The sequence below is a fragment of the Homo sapiens genome, chromosome 1, assembly GCF_000001405.40.
Source record: "Homo sapiens chromosome 1, GRCh38.p14 Primary Assembly".
In the NCBI taxonomy this organism is placed as follows: domain Eukaryota; kingdom Metazoa; phylum Chordata; class Mammalia; order Primates; family Hominidae; genus Homo; species Homo sapiens.
The window spans coordinates 88,559,756-88,581,557 of NC_000001.11; the positions used below are offsets into that span (position 1 = coordinate 88,559,756).

The 21,802-nt window shown below is 38.6% G+C and overlaps 1 long non-coding RNA gene and 1 pseudogene across 1 annotated transcript in view; one reads left to right on the plus strand and one right to left on the minus strand.

Annotated features, from left to right (window-relative positions):
* Positions 1 to 21,802, minus strand: part of PKN2-AS1 (PKN2 antisense RNA 1) — a 147,692-nt gene that overhangs the window by 22,243 nt on the left and 103,647 nt on the right. Inside the window, exon 2 of the long non-coding RNA NR_110682.1 lies at positions 10,232 to 10,440. This is a non-coding gene — a long non-coding RNA (PKN2 antisense RNA 1). The remainder of the gene's footprint in view (positions 1 to 10,231; positions 10,441 to 21,802) is intronic.
* RPL36AP10 (ribosomal protein L36a pseudogene 10) lies at positions 18,090 to 18,533 on the plus strand (annotated as a pseudogene).

The window sequence follows — 21,802 nt, forward strand, 5'->3', positions numbered from 1 at the left end:
ATGGCTTTTCTCTATGCTCTTTTCTAGCTCATGGATGTTTATTGTCTTCTCTCTGTATGTCTTTCTGTTTTACCTCCTACCTGCCTTATAATTTTATGTATGACCAGAATTTAAACTTTCCCTAAGACAGCATCAGATTGGTTGGTCAGACACCATGTGTATAGATATCATAGGTACCTCTTTGAGAAGCATTATCCCCCTTAACCACTTCATAGGCCACTTTTGGTGAAGTGTCCTTGTCCTGAGTGTGAGTTTCATATAGAGAAATTATGAAGATTTTTGAAAAATCTGCTACCAAGAAGACTTTCGATATAAGTGCACTCTGAGATCCCTCAAGAGAAGGTAATATAACCAACAGAAACTTTTTATGCCTTGTAAGTTCACTTTTTAGACAAGATCAGGCACATTCACGGTGGTATGGTCTTAGATGTAAGTTCACTGTTTAAATCCTTACAATTACACCATCATAACACTCACCTTTTACTGAGCAATGGCTAGGTGACAAATACTTTACATACATTATTTTAATTATTATGAAAACACTGGAAGTCAGTCACTATTCACACCTTACTGAAAATCATCAAGGAAAATTAGTGTGTCAAGGTTGCCCAGGTGACCTAATAAGTGATAAAAGAATTCTAACCCAAAACTGCCTGGTTCCAATGCTAATCCTATTCCTTCTGTACCTTTGCTACATCTAGACTATATTTCTTCATCCTCCTGTCTGTAATTTATTACAGAATGCTCTATAATACGAACTACTTTATAGCTTTTCTTATTCTTCAGCCTTGTCTTTGTTCGATACAAGAACAAAGTTGCAGCTTTTGACACATGATGTCCTAGTCTCATTGTGTCTAATATATGTGAGAACTTTTTCTCCAAATTTCTGTCTGTATCATTCTCAGTCAAAAATTGATCAAAGTTTAAAAATTGACAGTATGATGTCCTCATTAGTCCAGCTCTTCTCTCATTGAGAAGATGGCTTCAGTATAGATATAGCCCAGCAGCATTTTTTTCTTTAGTATGTGGCCGTACATTAAATATACGAATATGCTGACATCTAAGTAATTTTAAAGTGAGAAAAATGAATGTGGGGTTTTAACTTTTGTTGACTCAGTAAATAGGCTGGAAGTGTTCATATTTTAAATAAATGTACATAAAATAAAAATGTACATTTCAAAGAAGTAACAAAAATGTGTGCTACGGTGGAAATACAAATATCCTCTTCTTTCTAAGTGGAGTTTTCAAAACTGAAAAGCTTAAGACCATGAACAACTACACACACCCCAGCTTAACTTAGTTCAAATACCACTCAGAGGTGCTGAGTTGAGAGAAATCCTTTGTGAGATCAGGATGTTACACAACTAAATATGACTTTCAACGTTTTATTTCTATCATTCTTTTCAAATTGCATTCACAGCCACAACTGCTCTCTTCTAATAAAGGTGAGAGCAATAGCATTTCTTCTTTTAGAATAGCAATGATATTACCAAAGAAAAATAATCAAAGTTGGCAAATTTATTTTGGAACTCTCAATGGAAACCAATGTTCATTTAACTTGCCCCATAGCTCTCATCCCCCAAATCATCACCCAGGAATAATAGCTTACAAATTTTAACATTAAATAAATGTAAAGCATTAGAACTGATGCAAAGTATTATTTTGACATACTGTAATTTGAAAAGGGTAAATCAATTTAAACCATTTTTGTTTAAAATCAGCTCCTAAGGCTATAAACTCACAGTGGTTGCCAAGTTTCAACCCAAAGTGAATTTTAAGGTCTATGTTATTAACCCTTGAAAAATGAGCTCTATCATGGAAACAATGACAGACCTGGGCACTACCAGGTACAGCTGCTGAAGCTGACAGTCAGTCAAGTAAGAGTAATGCATGGTTTCTTCATATGCAAATCACAGAATATGTGCTTACCTTTAAAGAGCAATGTCAGATTATTGTAAAAGTGTTTAGATATAATAACTTTTTTTAAGAAACCAAATTCATTTATACTGAACTCTCTATGGCTGACATACCATGATAAATCACCTCATTACACAGGAAGCCATAAATATGGCTATTGAGGATAAGTGTGATTGTAAATGAGACTGCTGGAATTCTACTGTGTCTTGCAATGACCCTCAATAAAAAGATGCCTATGGAACATGGTAAGCTTCCCTTGGAAATAGTGCTCCACGCTTACAATGTTATCCAAATAAGTTTTCTGATCCTTGGGGTTTGTTTCTTAAAATAACACTATTAGGGTATATTTTTCATGGCAAAGTCCATGAATTAAACAACAATAAACCTTCTAAACATGTTGCAACACATTAATAAATACAAATTGATGAGTTTATATCCTGGGAAAGGTCACAAAGTAGCCGTCTGGGGTGCTAAGGGTATTCTAAATCTTAATCTATTAGTCATTCCAAGGAGTATGTGTGTATCAGTCCATTTTTATACTGCTATAAAGAACTACCCAAGACTAGGTAATTTATAAAGGAAAGAGCTTTAACTGACTGACAGTTCAGCATGGCTGAGGAGGCCTCAGGAAACATGAGGCCTTCATGGCAGAAGGTGAAGGAGAAGCAAGGTAGCTTCTTCACAAGGTGGCAGGAAGGAAAAGTGCTGAGCAAAGAGGCAAAAGCACCCTATAAAACCATCAAAAACTCACTCACTATCATGAGAACAGCATGGGGAAGATGGCCCCCCATGATTCAATTACCTCCACCTGGTCTCTTCCTTGACACCTGGGGATTAGGGGGATTATGGGAATTACAATTCAAGATGAAATTTGGGTGGGAACACAAAGCCTAACCATATCAATGTGCGTGTATACATGTGTGTGTGTATAATCACAGAGCTGTACACTTAAGATTTGTGCACTTTATTCTATGTAGATTATTTTGCAATTTTTTAAAAAGTTAAAAAGCAAAACAAAACAAAAACATTCCGACATCCCTAAGTCATTTTTTTAAATGACAGCCTACAGCAAGAACTGCTAACCTGAACTTTAAGTATCTCCTCCCAAATTGGAAGCCCATGTCCTATTCTCCAGCCCTTGCCTCCCAAATCCTTTTATATTCTTCATGTGCAAAAATGTCAAGGTAGAACTGTTCCCGGGGCGAATTTACTATTCAAATCTGGAAACATTCAGGCTAAAGTGAGATTTCCAAAAAAGATCGTAATGCCTTTATAGAGAAGTAAGATGAGAAGTTGTCCAGACAGCTGGCAGAAAAAAGGACAGAGAGAAGGAAGATATAAAGTGTTCTGAAATATATACAGAGCTGGAGATCAAAGATCCCTAGTATGTCTACCCTCAGGAGTCCCCACAGGTTTCTTGATCCTCAGTTCATCATTCCCACCGTTATTCATATTCTTATAATCTGTGCCTCTCACATCCAACTCACCTCCCTCTCACCTGCTCAATCACCAGGTATAGGACAAAAGGAACTACAAAGTCCCCAGCTGTGCTGTCTGCCAAAGACAATAGGTGCTGTAACAATAGCTCAGCCTCATGTTTAAAAATCAAAACGTCCATTTGATTTTCAATTTATCTTTAAGTTAGAAACTTTCTGGCTCTTGGTAAAGAAAACCCAAAACATATTCGATATCTGTGTTTATGCAGTACACAGACACCTGAGTATATGGTAAATGTAGTTTTTGTAGCACATGTTGTTCCTTATTTAATTCATTTAGCCTGACAGAGTTCATAAAAATGAATGCAACAATAGTAATATTTCATTTAGGTCCACTGGCATTTCTCATGATGTACATTAAAAAGATATAATACATATTATAAATGTGAGAGCAGCTGTATACACAGACATGCTTTTCACTCCAAGGTACATTAATAGAATGATAAATTCCATGTATTAAATCTATAAGAACCAAAATACTCCGAGTTAAGACATCTGTACAGAATTAGGTGCCAAATGAAATGTCACAATCAAATAAAACTTTATGAGAATCATAGGATTTTTTTTAGAGCTAGAAAGAACGTTTGAAATCACCCAGTAAAACTTGCTCATTGACAGATATCTAACCTCAGTTTTTAAAAAATTAAATGACTTGTATAAGTTCACACAGCAAGTTAATGAAAAAGCCACAGCTAGAATATTCCTTCTCCAGGTACAGTGCTCCTTCTACCACATCATTAGCAGCAATGGCTTGTGAAGAAACAAATGCACAAGGTGTCACTGTAATAACCTCATGTGCTCATTTTAGTGTGTCAACGGATGTTTTTTGTGATGCATGCTCATAATTTCTCACACTTCTGCTAACTTGGTCAATCTTCCCTCTTCTTGAAGACTGGAACTGGAACCAAACTGGATTCTTTAGACCCTAGAGCACATAGTGCAAATCGAATGGACCCTGTGGGCAACTCGGTTGGTGATGGAGTCAAATACTGGTCATTTATATTCTACATGAGTATTCACACAGACTTAGCCAAAAAAACAAGATCAAAATTGTATTTATTTAATATAATACCTTCATCCTAACTAGACCAACCTAATCTGAGAACCGAAATTAAAAAAGAAGTATTACAATTTAAAATGTCTCAACACAGAGCTCAGAACCAAAGCAGACAGAAGCCATGGCAGCAGGGAATGAAAGGGAATAACAATTTTAAGTCCCAGAGCACATTGGGTCCACCAAAAGGGTTTCAAAATCACAAATTTATTTATTTATATGTTTTATTTATTAATTAATTTATTTATTTATTTATTTTGAGACAGAGTCTCGCTCTATCGCCCAGGCTGGAGTACAGTGGTGCGATCTCGGCTCACTGCAAGCTCCGCCTCCCGGGTTCACGCCATTCTCCTGCCTCAGCCTCCCGAGTAGCTGGGACTACAGGCGCCTGCCACCATGCCTGGCTAATTTTTTTTTGTATTTTTTAGTGGAGACGGGGTTTCATCATGTTAGCCAGGATGGTCTCAATCTCCTGACCTCGTGATCCGCCCGCCTCGGCCTCCCAAAGTTCTGGCGTGAGCCACAGTGCCCAGCCCAAAATCACAAATTTAAAAGATCATTAAGACATAGTCTAATTTCTGAAAAGTATATGAAAATTTCAACTGCAATACTTCACTTGATATCTGACATGCGATTACCAAAGACCTAAACTGAAGGCCAGAGAAAACACTAAAACAAACACCCAGCATTGCTGCTGCCCAATTTGGCCTTGAGAAATTATATTTGAGTAACATAAACTTCAGTTTACCCTCCTATGCAGCAGCATAAGTCAGAAACTGTTCCTGTGTCTCAGCTGAAATGTGACATGAAGCTAAGTACGAGGCAGCCGCTCCAGTTTAGACAATACAGTCTTACAACAACTCTTACCACAAGGACAGTGAAATATTGCAATAGTAGCAGGTTGCTAACTAATACAAATGATTGGAAGATTCCGTATAAATGTTTGAATTTAGAAAATTATCAAGGAAGCAAAAAAGACCAAGAAATTAAGGTTAACACAAGCTGTCTTTTGTTCTTTTATAGAAATGTGTGGATGGAAACCATTAACAGCACTGCCTTGGACACTAGTAAAATTCCTGTAGAGTGTTTTATAAAGGTAATGAACTTGTATGTGCCTCACTGAACAGGCCTGCTATTAAATCTTCCCTAAGAAATGGGATGAGATTACTGGGGTGTTTTGTGAGCGGTGTGAGCTTTGCCCGTACATAGCCAGGAATTTTAATCACTGGCCCCAAAATTATGATTTCCCTAAGTAAAATAAAATAGAAACCAATCCAGTACACACTCTACATCATCGATTTTTAATCTGCTTCATTTTAAAGATTTCTCTTGTTAGAAGCACATTTGGGGGAAAGGAGTAAAGTAGAAATCTCAAATGACAAATGTCCAGCCTTGACAACCCAACCACAAACAAATTAAATGTCCATCTCTGTCACAGCTGGCAACCCCAGCCTGGCTTGAGGGAAATCCTCCATGTTGTTTAGAACAAATGTATTGGAGGTTAATCAAAATCTAATGAATCCCTTAGGAAAATACTTCCTTAGTCCACTTCTGTAAGAACTGTACTAGTTTGGAGGAGGTATATACCAGTTGTTTTCTGGGATAACAGTTGTTGTGTAAATAAGAGAACTGGACACCCCCAGGAAAACATTTCAGCTATGTCTATTATCCAAATCTATGTCTTCACTCACCAAAGTGTCAAGGTGATGCATCAGTTGATCTGTCTAACAATACATTTTATTACTGACATGTAGGGAGAGAAAAGACCAGAAGGAGGAAAGTAGTCAGGGCAAAGGGAAGAGGCAATTTTTGACCTCTAAACAAAGGCTGTTTGTAATTATTTGGTCTGATCAACCCCTCCAGTTTATTTTGACTATTCTACAAGTATAAAAAAAAAAAAAAGATGCTGATAAGGGTGAGTTTGGAACATTAATTTAATCAGAGGAAAACAAGGGACATGAAAAGGGCAAGGAAATAAGAAAAAGGCACCAAGAAAGTTATCATCAGCAGTAATCATATTTGTCCTGAATCCTGGTTCTTTTCAGGACTGCTTACAGTCCTGAAAGATGAGCCCTTTCAATAAAAAAAAAAACCTGTAATAACTATATCAGACATTTTTCATGGGCTTCCAAGATGCCAGGCACTTCATACACATTATCTCTAAATCTCATTATTGCCTGGCAAGGAAGGGGTCATTATCCCCATTTTGTAGATGATGAAACTGAATTTCGGAGAGGTTTGAACCTTGCCAAGCACAGAGTCGGTAAGTAGCAAATGAAAATTCCTACCCAGAGCTTAAGCTGTTTTTACCTTACCAAGATCAAATCCTCTTCTTTCTGCCCCTCTCTCTTTCTGGTCTTCTCAATAGTTTTCTCTCTCAGGGAAGTCCTATTGTTTATAGTTACAAATCTAAAGCAAATTAAAAGCTGCCTCATACCAAAAGGCTACTCCAAACCATGTAATCAGCAAGACAGGTAAAATCACTTGGTTCTATTATGTTGCAGATTATATAATTAGTCAAAGCAAAACGGGGCAAAGACATGTGGGAGCAAACAGGTTTAGGGCTACACTTCCCTTATGTATATTCAGCCTTTGCACAAAGACTTACTGTTCCCACCTTTCTTAGCAGATTCGAAAGTGCTGGGTTCCAATGCCATTTTAAGGTTTACAATCCCTGGAAGGGCTCAGATGAAAATGAGGCAGCAACCATATGGTTCCAGTTTCCTCCTCTGCCCCAACAAAGAAGCCTACTACACACCTCTAATTAAAGGATAAACATTAGCACTAGAAATTGTAATTAAAGGATTTATACACACCTAGGATCCTCTTGACAACACACTCATTCATATTACTGTGTAAAAGTTTTATTTACTCCCATGCGAACTTACAATTGTAATGCGGTTTTATGGTCCATCCCAAAGGCATAACTTGAAGGGGCTGGAGACACCTTTGGGAAAAAAACGAAAACAAACTAGAAATCTAACTTTGAATTGAAATGATGACTTTTTTGCTGGGTGTGGTGGCTCACGCCTATAATCCCAGCACTTTGGGAGGCCAAGGTAGTCGGATCACCTGAGGTCAGCAGTTCGAGACCAGCCTAGCCAACGTGGTGAAACCCTGTCTCTACTAAAAATACAAAAAAAAAAAAAAAAAAAAAAAAAAATTAGCCAGGCATGGTGGCACATGCCTGTAATCCCAGCTACTCGGGAGGCTGAGGCAGGAGAATCGCTTGAACCCGGGAGGCGGAGGTTGCAGAGAGGAGATGGCACCACTGCACTCTAGTGGGCGAAAGAGTGAGACTCCATCTCAAAAAAAAAAAAGAAGAAGAAGAAGAAATGATGACTTTTTTAAACGGTTTGAAATATCTCTGAGAACTGTATTAGTAATATTTGCTAGGAGTCATTGTGGTGTCCACATACTAGCTCCCTTGGGGACAACATGATGTCACTTAGTGTCAAAATATTATGGGAGCAAGAGCCTAGGAGTTGGAGTCAGAAATGCAATAGCTTTGAATTCTGGCTTTGATTCTTTCTAGTTGCTTACTTGTGGTATATTATTTAAATTCCTTGAGTCTCAATTTCCTCATAGAGCAAGATCAATATATGTTTCACAGGGTAGTTGTGGGGATTGAATGAGGTAAAGTATATGAAGCCCAACAGAATGCCTTAGCACATATCAGGGTGAAAAGCTGCTCTGTTCTATATTTCTTTCTCTAAATTCTAGTAACAGATTCATTCAACCAGTGTTTCGACAAGTGCTTTTTGTGCTTCTTCAAGGTAGAAAGCACAAATCTAAGATTTTAGGCACTAAAAGGGGTAAGTTATTATCTTCTCTTATTCTTAAAGAACTTACAGATCAGTGGAGGACTTACTGATACATTACTTACACGTATATAGAAATTTTATCTTAGGCACAATGTGGTAAGTAAAACTAATAGCTAATATTTATTTAACTCTTTCATTATGCCATATACTGTGATTTATACCATTTAGTTTAATGCCTATAACCTTAGTGCTATAGGAGATATTAGTAAAGTTCTGTGAAAGCCCAGAGACAAAAATTATTAATACCAAGAAAGGACACTCTGAAGGCTCTTCTAGAGTATTTGTGATATTTAAATCAGGTTTTCAAAGATGAGCAGGATTTTAACAGCCTGAGATATTTAATTGTCTAGGAAGAAAAAGCCAGGCACAGTAGCTCACACCTATAATCTCAACACTTTGGGAGGCTGAGACAGGAGAATTGCTTGAGGCCAGGAGTTTGAGCCAGACTGAGCAACATAGTGAGACCCCTATCATCTCCACAAAAAAAAAAAAAAATTTTTTTTAATTAACCGGGCATGGTATCACATGCCTTGTAATCCTAGTTACTTGGAAGGCTGATAGCTTGAGCTCAAGAGTTGAGGTTACAGTGAGCTATGATAATACCACTGCACTGCAGCCTGCATGACATAGTGAGACCCAGTCTCAAAAAAAAAAAAAAAAAAAGTGAAGGGAACAGAAACAGCAAATGCAAAGATCATGAAAGCGTTCAGTTCAGTATTTCTAGAAAACACAAGTATCCCATAGTAGCCACTGGACTAGAAGATGAAGCTGTAAAGATAGGATAGAGATAAATGGTAGAGAGCACAGAGACCAAGCTAAGGACTAGATCATTTCCCTATGAATTACCCAATCAGATCTATGCTTTAAGAAGACCATGGGAGTGGAAGGAACAGATTAGAAAGAGGAGTAACTGGATATAGAGAGTCCAATTCTGGGCCTGGAAATAAAGGTCCAAAGAGTACATACATTCACTACTATCCCTGCCAATGAGTTAAGGTAAATATAGTTCTTTCCAGTGGCATTGGTCTGTGTAGGGGGGAATAAAAGATTCAACCTGAATTTGTGGCTGTCACTGTCTTCCAGGAAGATTAGACTCCTGACAGCCTGAACTGTGGATTGAAGGGGTCTTCATGTGGGAAATTCAACAGGCTGAGAAAAAGTTGTTAAATAAAATTTAGGAACCAGAGAGAAGATATAAGCCAAGTCTAGGCCTCAGGAAGATTCATATTGGAATTTTTTTTTTACGTATCTGGGCCTTTTGTAGCTACACATCACACTCATAAAAATTCAATCACCAATAATGTATCAACTCCAAAACAATCACTTGATAGCCTTTTTTCTTCTTTTTTGCAGTGGGTGGAACGATAGTTTTTTTATTTTTATTTTTCTGCAGGTGTTTTTTCACATTTAATGCTCCTCAGCCTCTCAAGGAAAGGGTGTTTATCCTCATCCTTGTTTCCTAAGCCCCTACACAGGACATGGGACATAGAGGATGCTGCATAATTTAATAAATGTTTAATTATTTGATCAATTAATTCAAGTCAGAAGGCCATAATAGGCTAAACCAGACTTCAGCTGGTTCTAGTTATGTGGATCAATGTGAGAGCCACTTCTTTAGCATTTTAGACAAAGTGGCTCCATAAGGACCTTAGGTCCATTTCCAGGCCATCCTTGCATTTGTAAAAAGAAGGTTTCCAGAAGAAGGTTGTTTCCACTTCCCCCAAGCTCTATAATATGTATAAGACAGCACAAAATGCAATAGAATTTTTTCCCTAAATAGATATTTATTCTACTCTTCAGAACCTTGTAAGCATGGAGTATTGGCATTTTTGTGAATTGGTCTCCACTGAACAGATAAATGCCTGATATATGCTAATATATATGATTTATGTATCTTTTTAGATAGACAAGCCTATACAAGAAGTCTAGAAGTTACAAACCTTCATTTTCTTCCTTGAGTCTTCTGTCAGTCTGTAATTGAGTCCTCCTTGTCTGGTCTCTGTCTGTCTTCACCTCTTATTTATTCCTGCTCTTTCTGCAGTGTCTCAGCTCTTTCTTGTTGGCCTTTTGACATGGATTTTCAGTCAAATGGTTCCATCCAGTTTTCTCTCCAATGGAGCTGTGTGTGACTTGTACAGCTCCAGGGTAACTGAGAAAATAAAGGAAAATGATCATTCCTCATCCACTGAGAAAATAAAGGAAAATGATCATTCCTCATCCAACTCAAAATTAAGTATGTAAAAGACAAATATTTCTTTTGTCTGATTGCATATTCAAGCAGACTCTATTGATATGCTTACAGAGTTGTTCTGATTTCTTTATTTTTCCAAAGAATCTTTTCTGTCATCCTTGATAGGTATGTGCCAGAACTCCAGAGAGTACAGTTAGAACCCTGGCCCCCCAAAAAAAAGGTGGAGGAGAAAATCCTGTCTTGATACAATACCATAAAGATATAAAGTAGGAAAAATTTTAAAAATTAATTTTCATGACATTGAGATTTTTCATATTTAAAAATTATATATCTATTTAACGAAAACTTCATAATGGCTCTACTATGAAGCTAATTTCAACCAGCTGGGACATAACATGAACAATGCTGACATGCTGCAGTTGAAAACATAAGCCCCAACAAGCCTTAATTTCCATGAAAGAATACATATTATTATGAACATAATCCAGAGGCAAAAAAAGGGCTAGCAAACAGAGAACTTTGGATAAATTATGTTCCATTAAACATGCCATTATTTTTAATGTTGTACTTACCGGACACTTTGTAGACCTTTATTTTCAACAGAGGATGATTACAGAATTATCTTCGTTTTTGAAAGAACAAAACCAGAAAAAATGAAGTTAAACTTCAACTTAAAAGATTAGATCAAGAACAAAATAGTTTCATGGCCAAATTTGAGGGGTCTTGTTTAACATTAAGATGAGGAGAGGCGCTACTCACAGAGAGAAAGGATTTCAGATCTTGCAAACATTTAAATCTTGTATAACACAAGTTGGGGATTAGTCACAAGAAACAACAGAAGGAAAGCAGTTCACTGGATATACCAGTCTTTTGCACAGTTCATCCCCACTAATTAAAACACCTTTCCCACTTGGCAAACTACTATTCAACTCTCAAAACCCAAATCAGTGGTCACCTTCTCTAGGAAGCCTTCCTTACTCCCACCCCAGTTGAAGTTAATCCTGCCCTTCTCTGTATCATTCTCTACTTGTACCTAATTCTATTATTGTGTTTAATTATATTTATTTGTTCATATGTCAGCTTCTCTATTCAAAATATTAATTCCTTGAAAGCAGGCCAATATCTTATTGATCTTTGAAAAAGCAGAGTATCAGAAACATAATAGGCACATTATTCACTTCATGCAACTAAAGAAACAAGGACTAAATGTGCAAAATTGCCAAGCAGTTCTTGAAACATTTTGCACAGCCGAGAAGTCAAACAACATTCAGTCTTCAGCACCTTTGCCCTTCTTTGGCAATTTCTTTCACTCCCTTGATTTCAGCTGTTCTCATTATGATTACCAAATCTGCATTTCCATTCTTGAACTTTTGTCCAGATTCTAGATTCACTTTCACTGCCTGCTGAACATTTCCACATGAAAAGTTCATGAATGCCTCAACTTTCAATATACCCAAAAAGAATTTATTACTCCTCTGTCACAAATTTACCCTTCTTGCTGTGTTCTCTGTATTGGTTCATTGCTTCACCATCATCCCTGTATGACAAGTTAAGCACTTAGAATCAGCTTTTCTCCCTACTTTTGCATCCCCCACCCTATTCTCCTGTTGCCAAATCCTTTCAGTCTGCCTATCAACGGTCTTTTGCTTACCTCTTCTCTTTCCCACTTCTACTGAATTAGTTCAAGTTCTCAATATATTTCTCCTGACCAATGTAATAAGCTGCTAAGAGGCTTCCCGCTTCAAGCCTTTTCAACACAACTCCCATTATGCTGCAAATAACTTTCCTAAAACAACAACATATTTATGTCGGTTTCCTGCTCAAAGACAACACTGATGGCTCTTCACTGGTGCAATTCCTCCTTCTGGCATGCAAAGGCCTCTGAGAGAGCCCCATGATGTCTCCTTTTCCTATGCATCCATCATTTTTTCATACTGCCCCACAGTGCACACTCCATTCACACACCCTCTAGACATACCTCTCTACTCCTCAAACACGCCCTTTGCTGCCCCATCCCCAACAACGTTGTTCTATACTGGTAGAACCCCTCTCACACTTCTTCTCCATTTCCCTATCAATGTCCTATTCATCCTCTAGTCTAGTGGTTCTTAACCTGTACTCCATAGACCCCCAAGGGTCCAGAGGTAAAATTAAGAGATTTGTGATTTAAATGGGAGAAAAATTACATTTCCATTTTCGCTAACTCCTAACTGAACTGTAGTATTTCCTTTTATTGTGAATCTAGGCAACAAACATTGAAAATATTAGAAGTACATAAGACTTTGTCACAAATAGAAATCACAGATATATCCATATCACATTATAGTCATTACAGATATCTTGAATTATTATTTACGCTCATTACTACTTTAAAATTACAATAGTTATTACACCTGCAAATGAAATTTTTTATTTAATGCCTTAATAAAGAAGTGTACTTATTATTATATCACAATTTTTTTTATATTTCAAGAGCTATTTTGATACAATTGGTTTCAATTATAATCCTTTCTCTTTTATTTTATACATTCCAAACATTATTTTGAGAACAGTTTATTAGACACAATAATGGTTAAGGATGCCCGTCTAGGTTTATCCTAAACTCTACCACAAGATGTTTTCCCACGCCTCACCCCTACCCCACACAGTATAAATTAATATCTTCTTCTACCTGATTCCATCAACTAGTTGAAACCCCTCCTGAGGCTCTGAGGAGGACTGCCTTCTGCCTGCCTTCTTTTGTAGTTATTTATTAGTCATTTACTAGGCTTTGAGATCCCAGGGATAGGAACATTTATTTCCTGTTTTTAACTAGCCCATCCTGATTGCATCCATGGTAGGTGATGAACCTGAGTTGCGCTGAACACTTTTTTTTGTTTGTTTTTTTTTGAGACGGAGTCTCGCTCTGTCGCCCAGGCTGGAGTGCAGTGGCGCAATCTCGGCTCACTGCAAGCTCCGTCTCTGGGGTTCACACCATTCTCCTGCCTCAGTCTCCCGAGTAGCTGGGACTAAAGGTGCGTGCCACCACGCCCAGCAAATTTTTTGTATTTTTTAGTAGAGACAGGGTTTCACCATGTTAGCCAGGATGGTCTCGATCTCCTGACCTTGTGATCCATCCACCTCGGCCTCCCAAAGTGCTGGGATTACAGGCGTGAGCCACCGTGCCCGGTTGAACACATTTCTTTTTCAGGGAATGTTTTAGGTTGATGGAAATCAAATCAAGAAAATAGACATGTTGCTAATGTATTCTGGTGGCTGAAGCAAGTTTGTCAACTTGTAACACAAACTGAACTGCTCTGTTCTCCTACCTGATTTCTGTGTCTCAAAACAAGACAGGAAAACAAGGGCAAGGATGAAAAAGGTGACTCTAGAATTCTACCTTTGGTAATCCAGACACACAGCAATGAATAATTTATTTAAATATATATATATCTTTATGTATATGTGACTATGTATACATATACTGCATATCAATGGTTTGGCATGCAGTATATAGTGTATACATTATATGTATACATAATATATTAAATATATATTATTTTATTTATAGTTCCATCACACAAGTAGCAGTTTATACAAGTTGGATTTGAACCTTCACAAGAGAACATGTGGAATACTGACCAATCAAAAACCATTCATGCTTCAGGGTCAAAAAATGTATTTTTGAAACAATGACTTTTATTATTACTTGCTATTGCATAACATAAGGTCTTTGTGTGAGGATATAAAACAGTTCCTTCAATGAAGTTATTTATGTTCATTGATACCCAAATCCATAATCTTAATGGTATGGTTTAAAGAAATAATGTAACATAACACATTCATGGAGCACTCATCTCTGAACAATTAACGGAGATTGATAAAAATCAACACCAGATAAACACCCTTTTGACAATGAGCCTCATTATATGATGCATGGGAGAAACAGAAGTTGTGAATGATAAAGAAGACATAAAAGAAAATGCTGCAAGAGATTCAATTTAATACAAAGATGAATATTACAAATACATGTTTAATTGAATAATCAAATATTTAGTCATTCTTTTATGTTACTCCCACTAAAAAACCTAAGACATAACAAATGGCCCCAAAACCATCTGCTAGGAACATCCATTTGCATGCTAATTTTTTATAATTCATAGTTTGAAGTTATTTGTGCAAGCTTCCTATTCTCCTTCTTTAAATTTTGGCCATTTCTGTGTTCCCTGACTCATTCCTGCTTCTCACAACAGGCAAGGGAATTACCAATATTAGTAGTAGTAATAATAATAATAAACACTCATAAGTTATAATGTTCTGTAGCTTTTAATGTTTTAGCTACTAATATTTCACGTTAATTCTCATAAGAACACTGTAAGGAAAACAGGACAGGTATTATATTAAATATATAGATAAAGGGACTAAAGCTCATGGAAGTTAAGTAATTTGCCCAAGTTCCCACAGCCTGTGAATAATGAATAACACGGTCAAAACATGTATCCAGGCCTAATGAGTCTGAATGCAGTTCTCTTTCTGTTTCCATTCTACCCAAGGAAGAGTTAAAGATCATATAACTTCACTTGGGTGATTTCTGAATCTAATTTCAGCTCTTAACCAATCATTGTGGTTAAAGGAATGATTTACCACAGATATACAGTAGGCACTTGGTTATTTGTTCATTTAATTATGCAACAAATAGTTTTTTTAGCACCTCACATTTGCAAAGCCTATAAAATCGATTGGCAGATCCAATTGCCTGTAAGCACTTAGGGTATTTACATTACAAGGAAACAACTTAGACTGGCATATTTTTAACTTTTCAGGATAGTTTTCAAAGGGGAGTCAACACGGCAACTTATTAGTCATCTGCTTTATTCTTGTACCCATCCTAATTGTTAAGAGGAGGAAGGTAGAGAAGGACACTGTGTAGAAAATGAAAGGCTGTCATAGTGAACACTGTAGTACATCACCTAGATACCACCTCACCCAAGGTCATGCTCCCACCCCAGGAGCAACCTACATCCAATGACTAATCTATGCATGGGTGCAAAGTCCAAGCCTCATTGTGGAGCCAACTGTGCCCCCCTCATGCATAGACCATCCCAGCCCCTGAACCCAAACTGACTGCCCACTCCTGCTTCCTCACTCTGTCATAGACATTATTCTCATGGGACAAGAAAGAAGGTTCTTAAATGGGATTATGGAGCCAAATTGCCAACTGACCAGTTGGTGTTGATCACTTATGGTAGATGGAGCACAAATAGCCCCTGACATGTGTCAGTGGTACTACTGTTAAAGTTGCCACCACTGGAGAACTGAAATTGTAATCCATTGGAAGAAAATGACTGGTAGGTGTAATGTCTCCTGCACTTGAGAAATATGGGAGAGATGGCAAGTGTAAGGATAGTGAAGGCTATTTCTTGGGGCAATCAGTGCTTTTGGAGAAAGATAATGAAAGGCTGAGGGTGATTAATCAGCAATTGAAAGCTAATTATCAAAGTCAGAGCACCTCAATGCAGCATATAAAGAGTCTCATCTCCTTCAGTCAAGGGACAAAAAGCTGAGGATGAGAAACTGAACTTTATAAGTAGCAGAGTTGAATTATTGGTTCCTCCGAGTCACTATGCCAAGGCCAAGATTCTGATTGGGAAGAAATGAGACCCTGAAATATGGAATACCATATCTTTGGAAATCATGAGTCACCAGGTACTCCTGAACTCTCTGGACTTCCAGAAGTAACCCACTCCTCCCTGTAAAAATCTAGCATTTCCCCTGTGCTTGAAGATGATATAGAGGCCCCTATCTTGCAAGACAGCATGGATCCCCTCAGAACATTCCCCCAACCTGTCTCCCTGGTTATTCAACCATTATCTAGTATTAAGTCACAACAAAACATAGTTTATGTTGAGCTGGGCCTGCTGAGCAGACAGAGACAATATCCGCAAAGAGCTGCAGAATCTAGACAACATGTACCAATAGGAGGCAAGAAAGTACATATGGGCTTGGATGCTGAGAGTGCTGGATCAAAGGAGGTAGAACATGAAGTTGGATAAATGAAAAGTTACTTATTTTGAAGCCCTCATTAGGATTATACATCCTGGCAAAGACCCTGGAAATTCATATTAGCACACTACTGAGATGATCCTTTGAAGTTTAGAGAAAACAAAGTCTAGTAAAGAATGCTCCAATTGCCATGGCAGATGGTAGAAGAGGGATCAAAGGGCTTAGAAAAATGGGTATACTAGCATACATATACTAAGTAAGACCAGAAAATCCGCCAGCTAGCTTTGGCCTGCTGCAAGGCCCAGAGGACACTGTTTACCAAAACAATAAGAAATGCATCAGCTACAGGGACACCAGCATCACTGAGAAGCTCAGTGGTGGCTGTCTTCTGTTGGCCAGGGCTGACAGTAATAAATTCCATTATAAAACTGAGCCCCTTGATAGCAGACTGGATAATAAAATCCTAAAATAATGGAGACCAGGTAGAGGAACATAGCCACCAGAAGTAAGGTGAACACTCAAGATTGGAACGGCAGCCTGGAGGGTCTGACTCACAGAGAGCTATGGAGACGATTAATAGAACGTAGCATTCCTAAGGGAAATATAGATGGGATGGCAACAAGGGTACTGCTCAATTCACATAATCAAAAGAAATCAGAGATGGATGATCAGGAGGCTGTGGGCACATAAGAAGGCCAATCCCTTGCCCAGTTTCTGTACCTAAGCCAGTTTTGAGACCCAGAACTGACTGACTGAAGGAGAAGCTGGGTCCCCAGGAGGAAGGCTCTGCAACACCATGGCAAGTACACATGGTAATGATTCCCCAGTTCAAAAGGGACCTATAGCCATTTACTCAGGCAACCATATACTGGGGACAGGGTAATTTCAAATATTTTGAAGACTGTTGGATCCAGCGTCCATGCTGACATTTATACCTAAGAACTCAAAGCATCAGTCACCACCCTCTATTAGAGTGGAGACCCGGTTTGAAAAAAAAAAAAGTCCAGCTCACAGACAGTCCACTGTCTCTCCCAATCCACAGGCTCTCCCAATGGGTACTCCAATTGGAGAAGACTTTTTTGGTAGCTGGCACAACCTTAGCATTAGTTTCTTGGCCAGCCAAGAAAGTAAAACAAAAACAATTACATCTTGAGGAAACTGGAAGATGTTTGTGCCACCCTTAAAGACCTAAAGGACTTAGGGGTGGTGTTGCCACCTAATTTCCATTCAATTTATCAGTCTGGGCCCTGAAAAATCAGGTAGATCCTGAAGGATAACTGTAAACTACCACAAACTCAACCAAGCACTAGCCCTCATTGCATCTACTGTGCCAGGTGCTACAGCAGATTAACAGCCTCTAGTACATGGAGTGCAGCCATTGATCTGGCTTATGCATTCTTTTCCATCTCTATCAGAAATAGTTCTCACAACAGTGTACATGCACAACCTTTCCCAAGAGCTAATTTAACTCTCTTACTCTGTATAATGATGTGGTATAAAGAGACCTGGATCATGCTGCTGTGTTGTAGAGCATCACATTGGTCTGCCATATCAATGATATGTAAATTGGACCAGAATATCGAGAAGTAGCAAGTATGTTGGAAGCTTTAGTAAAACATATAACACTTTGGCTTTCCGTGCTGATATTGCTCCAGCAAACATGGCAAACATTCTTAAAACCCACCCGACATTCTGTAAGAAGTGTGGCAAGCACCAATCCCACAAAGTGATACAGTAGAAGAAGGGCAAGGATTCTCCATATGCCCAGGAAAAGTGGCATTATGACAGGAAGCAGAGTGGCTATGGTGGGCAGACTAAGCTGGTTTTCTACAAAAGGCTAAAAGTACAAAGAAGATTGTGCTGAGGCTTCAGTGTGTTGAGACCAACTGCAGATCTAAGAGAATGCTGGCTATGAAGAGATGCAAGCATTTTGAACTGGGAGGAAATAAGAAGATAAAGGGCCAAGTGATATCCAGTTCTAAGAATCATCTTTTGCTTTATTATGAAGAAAATACAAATTTGATATTATGTTAAAAACAAATGTATCACTCTGATGGGCAGAGGTAAGCCCTACAAAGATTAAAAGGTCTGCAACATCAGTAAAATATTGGGAGAGGGTCCAATGATCTGGGATCATCCTGGGACATCCTCTCAAAATAAAAGAAGAAATTGCATCTCCTGCCTCCCACCACAAAGAAAGAAGTAAAATGTCTGGCAGGCCTCTTGAGTTCTGGAGGAAGCATATTCTACACTTGAGAATATTACTCTAACCTATATACCAGAAAGCATGAAAGGCTGACAATTTTAAAGGCAGCCCAATGCTGGAAAGGGTTCTGCAGCAAGTCCAGGTCATGACACAAACAGTCCTGCCACTTGGGCAATAGAACACAACAGACTCTATGGGCTTACAGGTGCTTGTGATGGGAAAAAACACTGTGTGGAGTTCATAGCAAGCCACGATATGGGAATCACAATTAAGAATTCTAGCATTCAGCCAGGCATGGTGGCTCACATCTGTAATCCCAGCACTTTGGGAGGCCAAGGTGGGCGGATCACGAGGTCAGGAATTCGAGAACAGCCTGACCAACATGGCGAAACCCCGTCTCTACTAAAAATTCAAAAATTAGCTGGGCATGGTGGTGGGCACATGTAACCCCAGCTACTCAGGAGGCTAAGACAGGAGAATCGCTTGAACACAGGAGGCGGAGGTTGCAGTGAGCCAAGATCGTGCCATTGCACTCCAGCCTAGGCAACAGAGCAAGACTCCATCTCAAAAAAAAAAAAAAAAAAAAAAGAATCCTAGCATTTTACCAAGGTGGGTGAATCACAAAGTCAAGAGAGCAAGACCATCCTGGCCAACATGGTGAAACCCCGTCTCTACTAAAAATACAAAAATTAGCTGGGCGTGGTGGCAGGCGCCTGTAGTCCCAGCTACTCGGGAGGCTGAAGCAGGGGAATTGCTTGAACCCAGGAGGCAGAGCTTGCAGTGAGCCAAGATCGTGCCACTGCACTCTATAGCCTGGGCAACAGAGCGAGACTTCGTCTCAAAAAAGAAAAAAAAAAAAAAGAATGCTAGCATTCTAGAGCAAAGGCATACAACCAGCAATGGAAAATTAGGTACCTTCCAAAAAACACAGCTCTTGACATGCTACTGGGCCCTGGTGGAAATGGAGGCATGGTCCACAGAACAGTAAATAACCATGTTGTCAGGACTGTCCACCATGAGCTGGATTCTGTCCAGTCTGAAGACCAGCTGTAGCAGTGGGATACATCCCAGTAATCTTAAAAGTTTTCACCCAGAAAAGAAATCCACCAAAACCCTGAAGGAGTTGTTCCCAGAACTTTTACCAGCAAAGGGATCTGAGCAGCACAAGCAGTAAACTTTAATAGACATTTTAATGTGCTATCCAGATCACCCCTTCGCTTCAGGCCAGACACACTCATTCCCCCAGCTACCATGACTATTACTGATGGACAGCTCACAGCTGATCGTTCCTCGAGATATTGCCCTCAGCTAATGAGAGCCACCTCTTCCAATGTCATGCTCCCTTCCCAGGGCAACTGGCATCAAATGACTGATCAATACAGGGCTACAAAGGCTCACTGCCCTTGGCCCAGGGCCATTTTAGCTCCATAGTTCCTGAGATTCAGCTGAGATATCTGTTGTGACTACAATACAGCTCAAATTTTCTCTCTCAATCATCCTGCATTCTTCATTCCCTTACAGGTGTTGATCCAAGAACATTCCCTAGTAAAATTTCTGCATGCTAATCTCTGAACTTTCTTCCCAGAGAATCTGACCTGTAACAGCTGTACCTAGCGTGGGCAATCTTTCCTTGATATACTCTTTTTACAACGAAAGCTTTTTTTAGATATGGGATCTCACTATGTTGTCCAGACTGAAGTGTAATGGCTATTCACATGTGCAATCATAGCTCACTATGGCCTCAAATTCCTGGGCTCAACTGATTCTCCTGCCTCAGCCTCCCAAATAGCTGGGACTACAGGCACATGTCACCACACCTGGATGCAAAGGCTTTTTATAAACTAAGATTTTAGAACTTTGAAAAACAAAACTCACATGGCTGCCCTAATGTTTAATCCACAATTTCAATTTCCAAGTTCTTTCAAAAACTCATGTTAAAACTAAAAATTCATCTAGACCATATAAATACCTATACTCTATATCTTTGTAGCTATTTATTTAAATAGCTGTTTTATTATGTTGTAAACATATTTTCCCATTCTATGAAATCAACATTATTCTTAAATTTTATATCTTTCTTCTTTCATAAAATGATAAAAATTCATTGCCTACTATTTCATTCAGTTTCTACTGAGAAATAATTATAAATTCTTAAAACTTCACATCATCAATATTATCAATCTGCTGCCTCATACACTTGGTGTAGTAGAACTACTTAACGAGGAATCTAGACGTCTTAGTTTAGCTTTTTTATGTGACTTTGTATTACTCACTTTATTTATTCATTTAACAAATATGGTGCAGTGCTTGGGGTGGGGTGTTTCAGAAATTGCACTTAATTCTGAGCAGAAAGAATAAGGAAGACAGGCAGCCCCAATCCTCATAAAGATTATAACCTAATGGTGAAAGCAGACATTAAACAAGTCATGTTATAAATAATTGTTTGACTAACAATTGCGATATGTGTTCTGAAGAGTAAAGCCACAGTGTCATGAGTGTGTAGAACAGAAGGCCCTAACCTAGCCTAGGATGCCTGAAATTTCTTGAGGAAATGGCATTTAAGTTGAGACATAAAGAACAGATGAAACTTAGCAAGATAAAAAGGGGGAAAGAGATTTATAGACAGAAGGAACTTTATACTTGAAAATTCCATAAAGGGAAGAAGCTTAGTATGTTCGTAGAACTAAAGGAAGGCTACATAACAAGAGAATAGTAGAGACACAGGAGATTGGGAGCAAGCCATATCACACAGGGCCTTGTACATCAGAGGGACAGTTTTGAACTTTATCTTAGGTGCAGTAAGAAGCCATTTCAGAGTTTTAGACACAGATTTCCTTACATCCATAATGGTGATAATACCATCTGTCTGCTTACCTTATCAACTGCTAAGAAGATCAAAAAGATATTGGATGTGAAAAAAAAAATCACAAGAGGGCAGAGCAGGGTGGCTGAACAGAAGCCTTCACCAATCATCCCCCACTCAGGGACACCAAATTTACCAACTATCTACACATAAAAAAGCACCTTCATGAGAACAAAAAGTCACATAAGCAATCACAGCACCTGGTTTTAACTTCATATTGCTGAAGGAGGCACTGAAGAGAGTAGGAAAGACAGTCTTGAATCACTGAT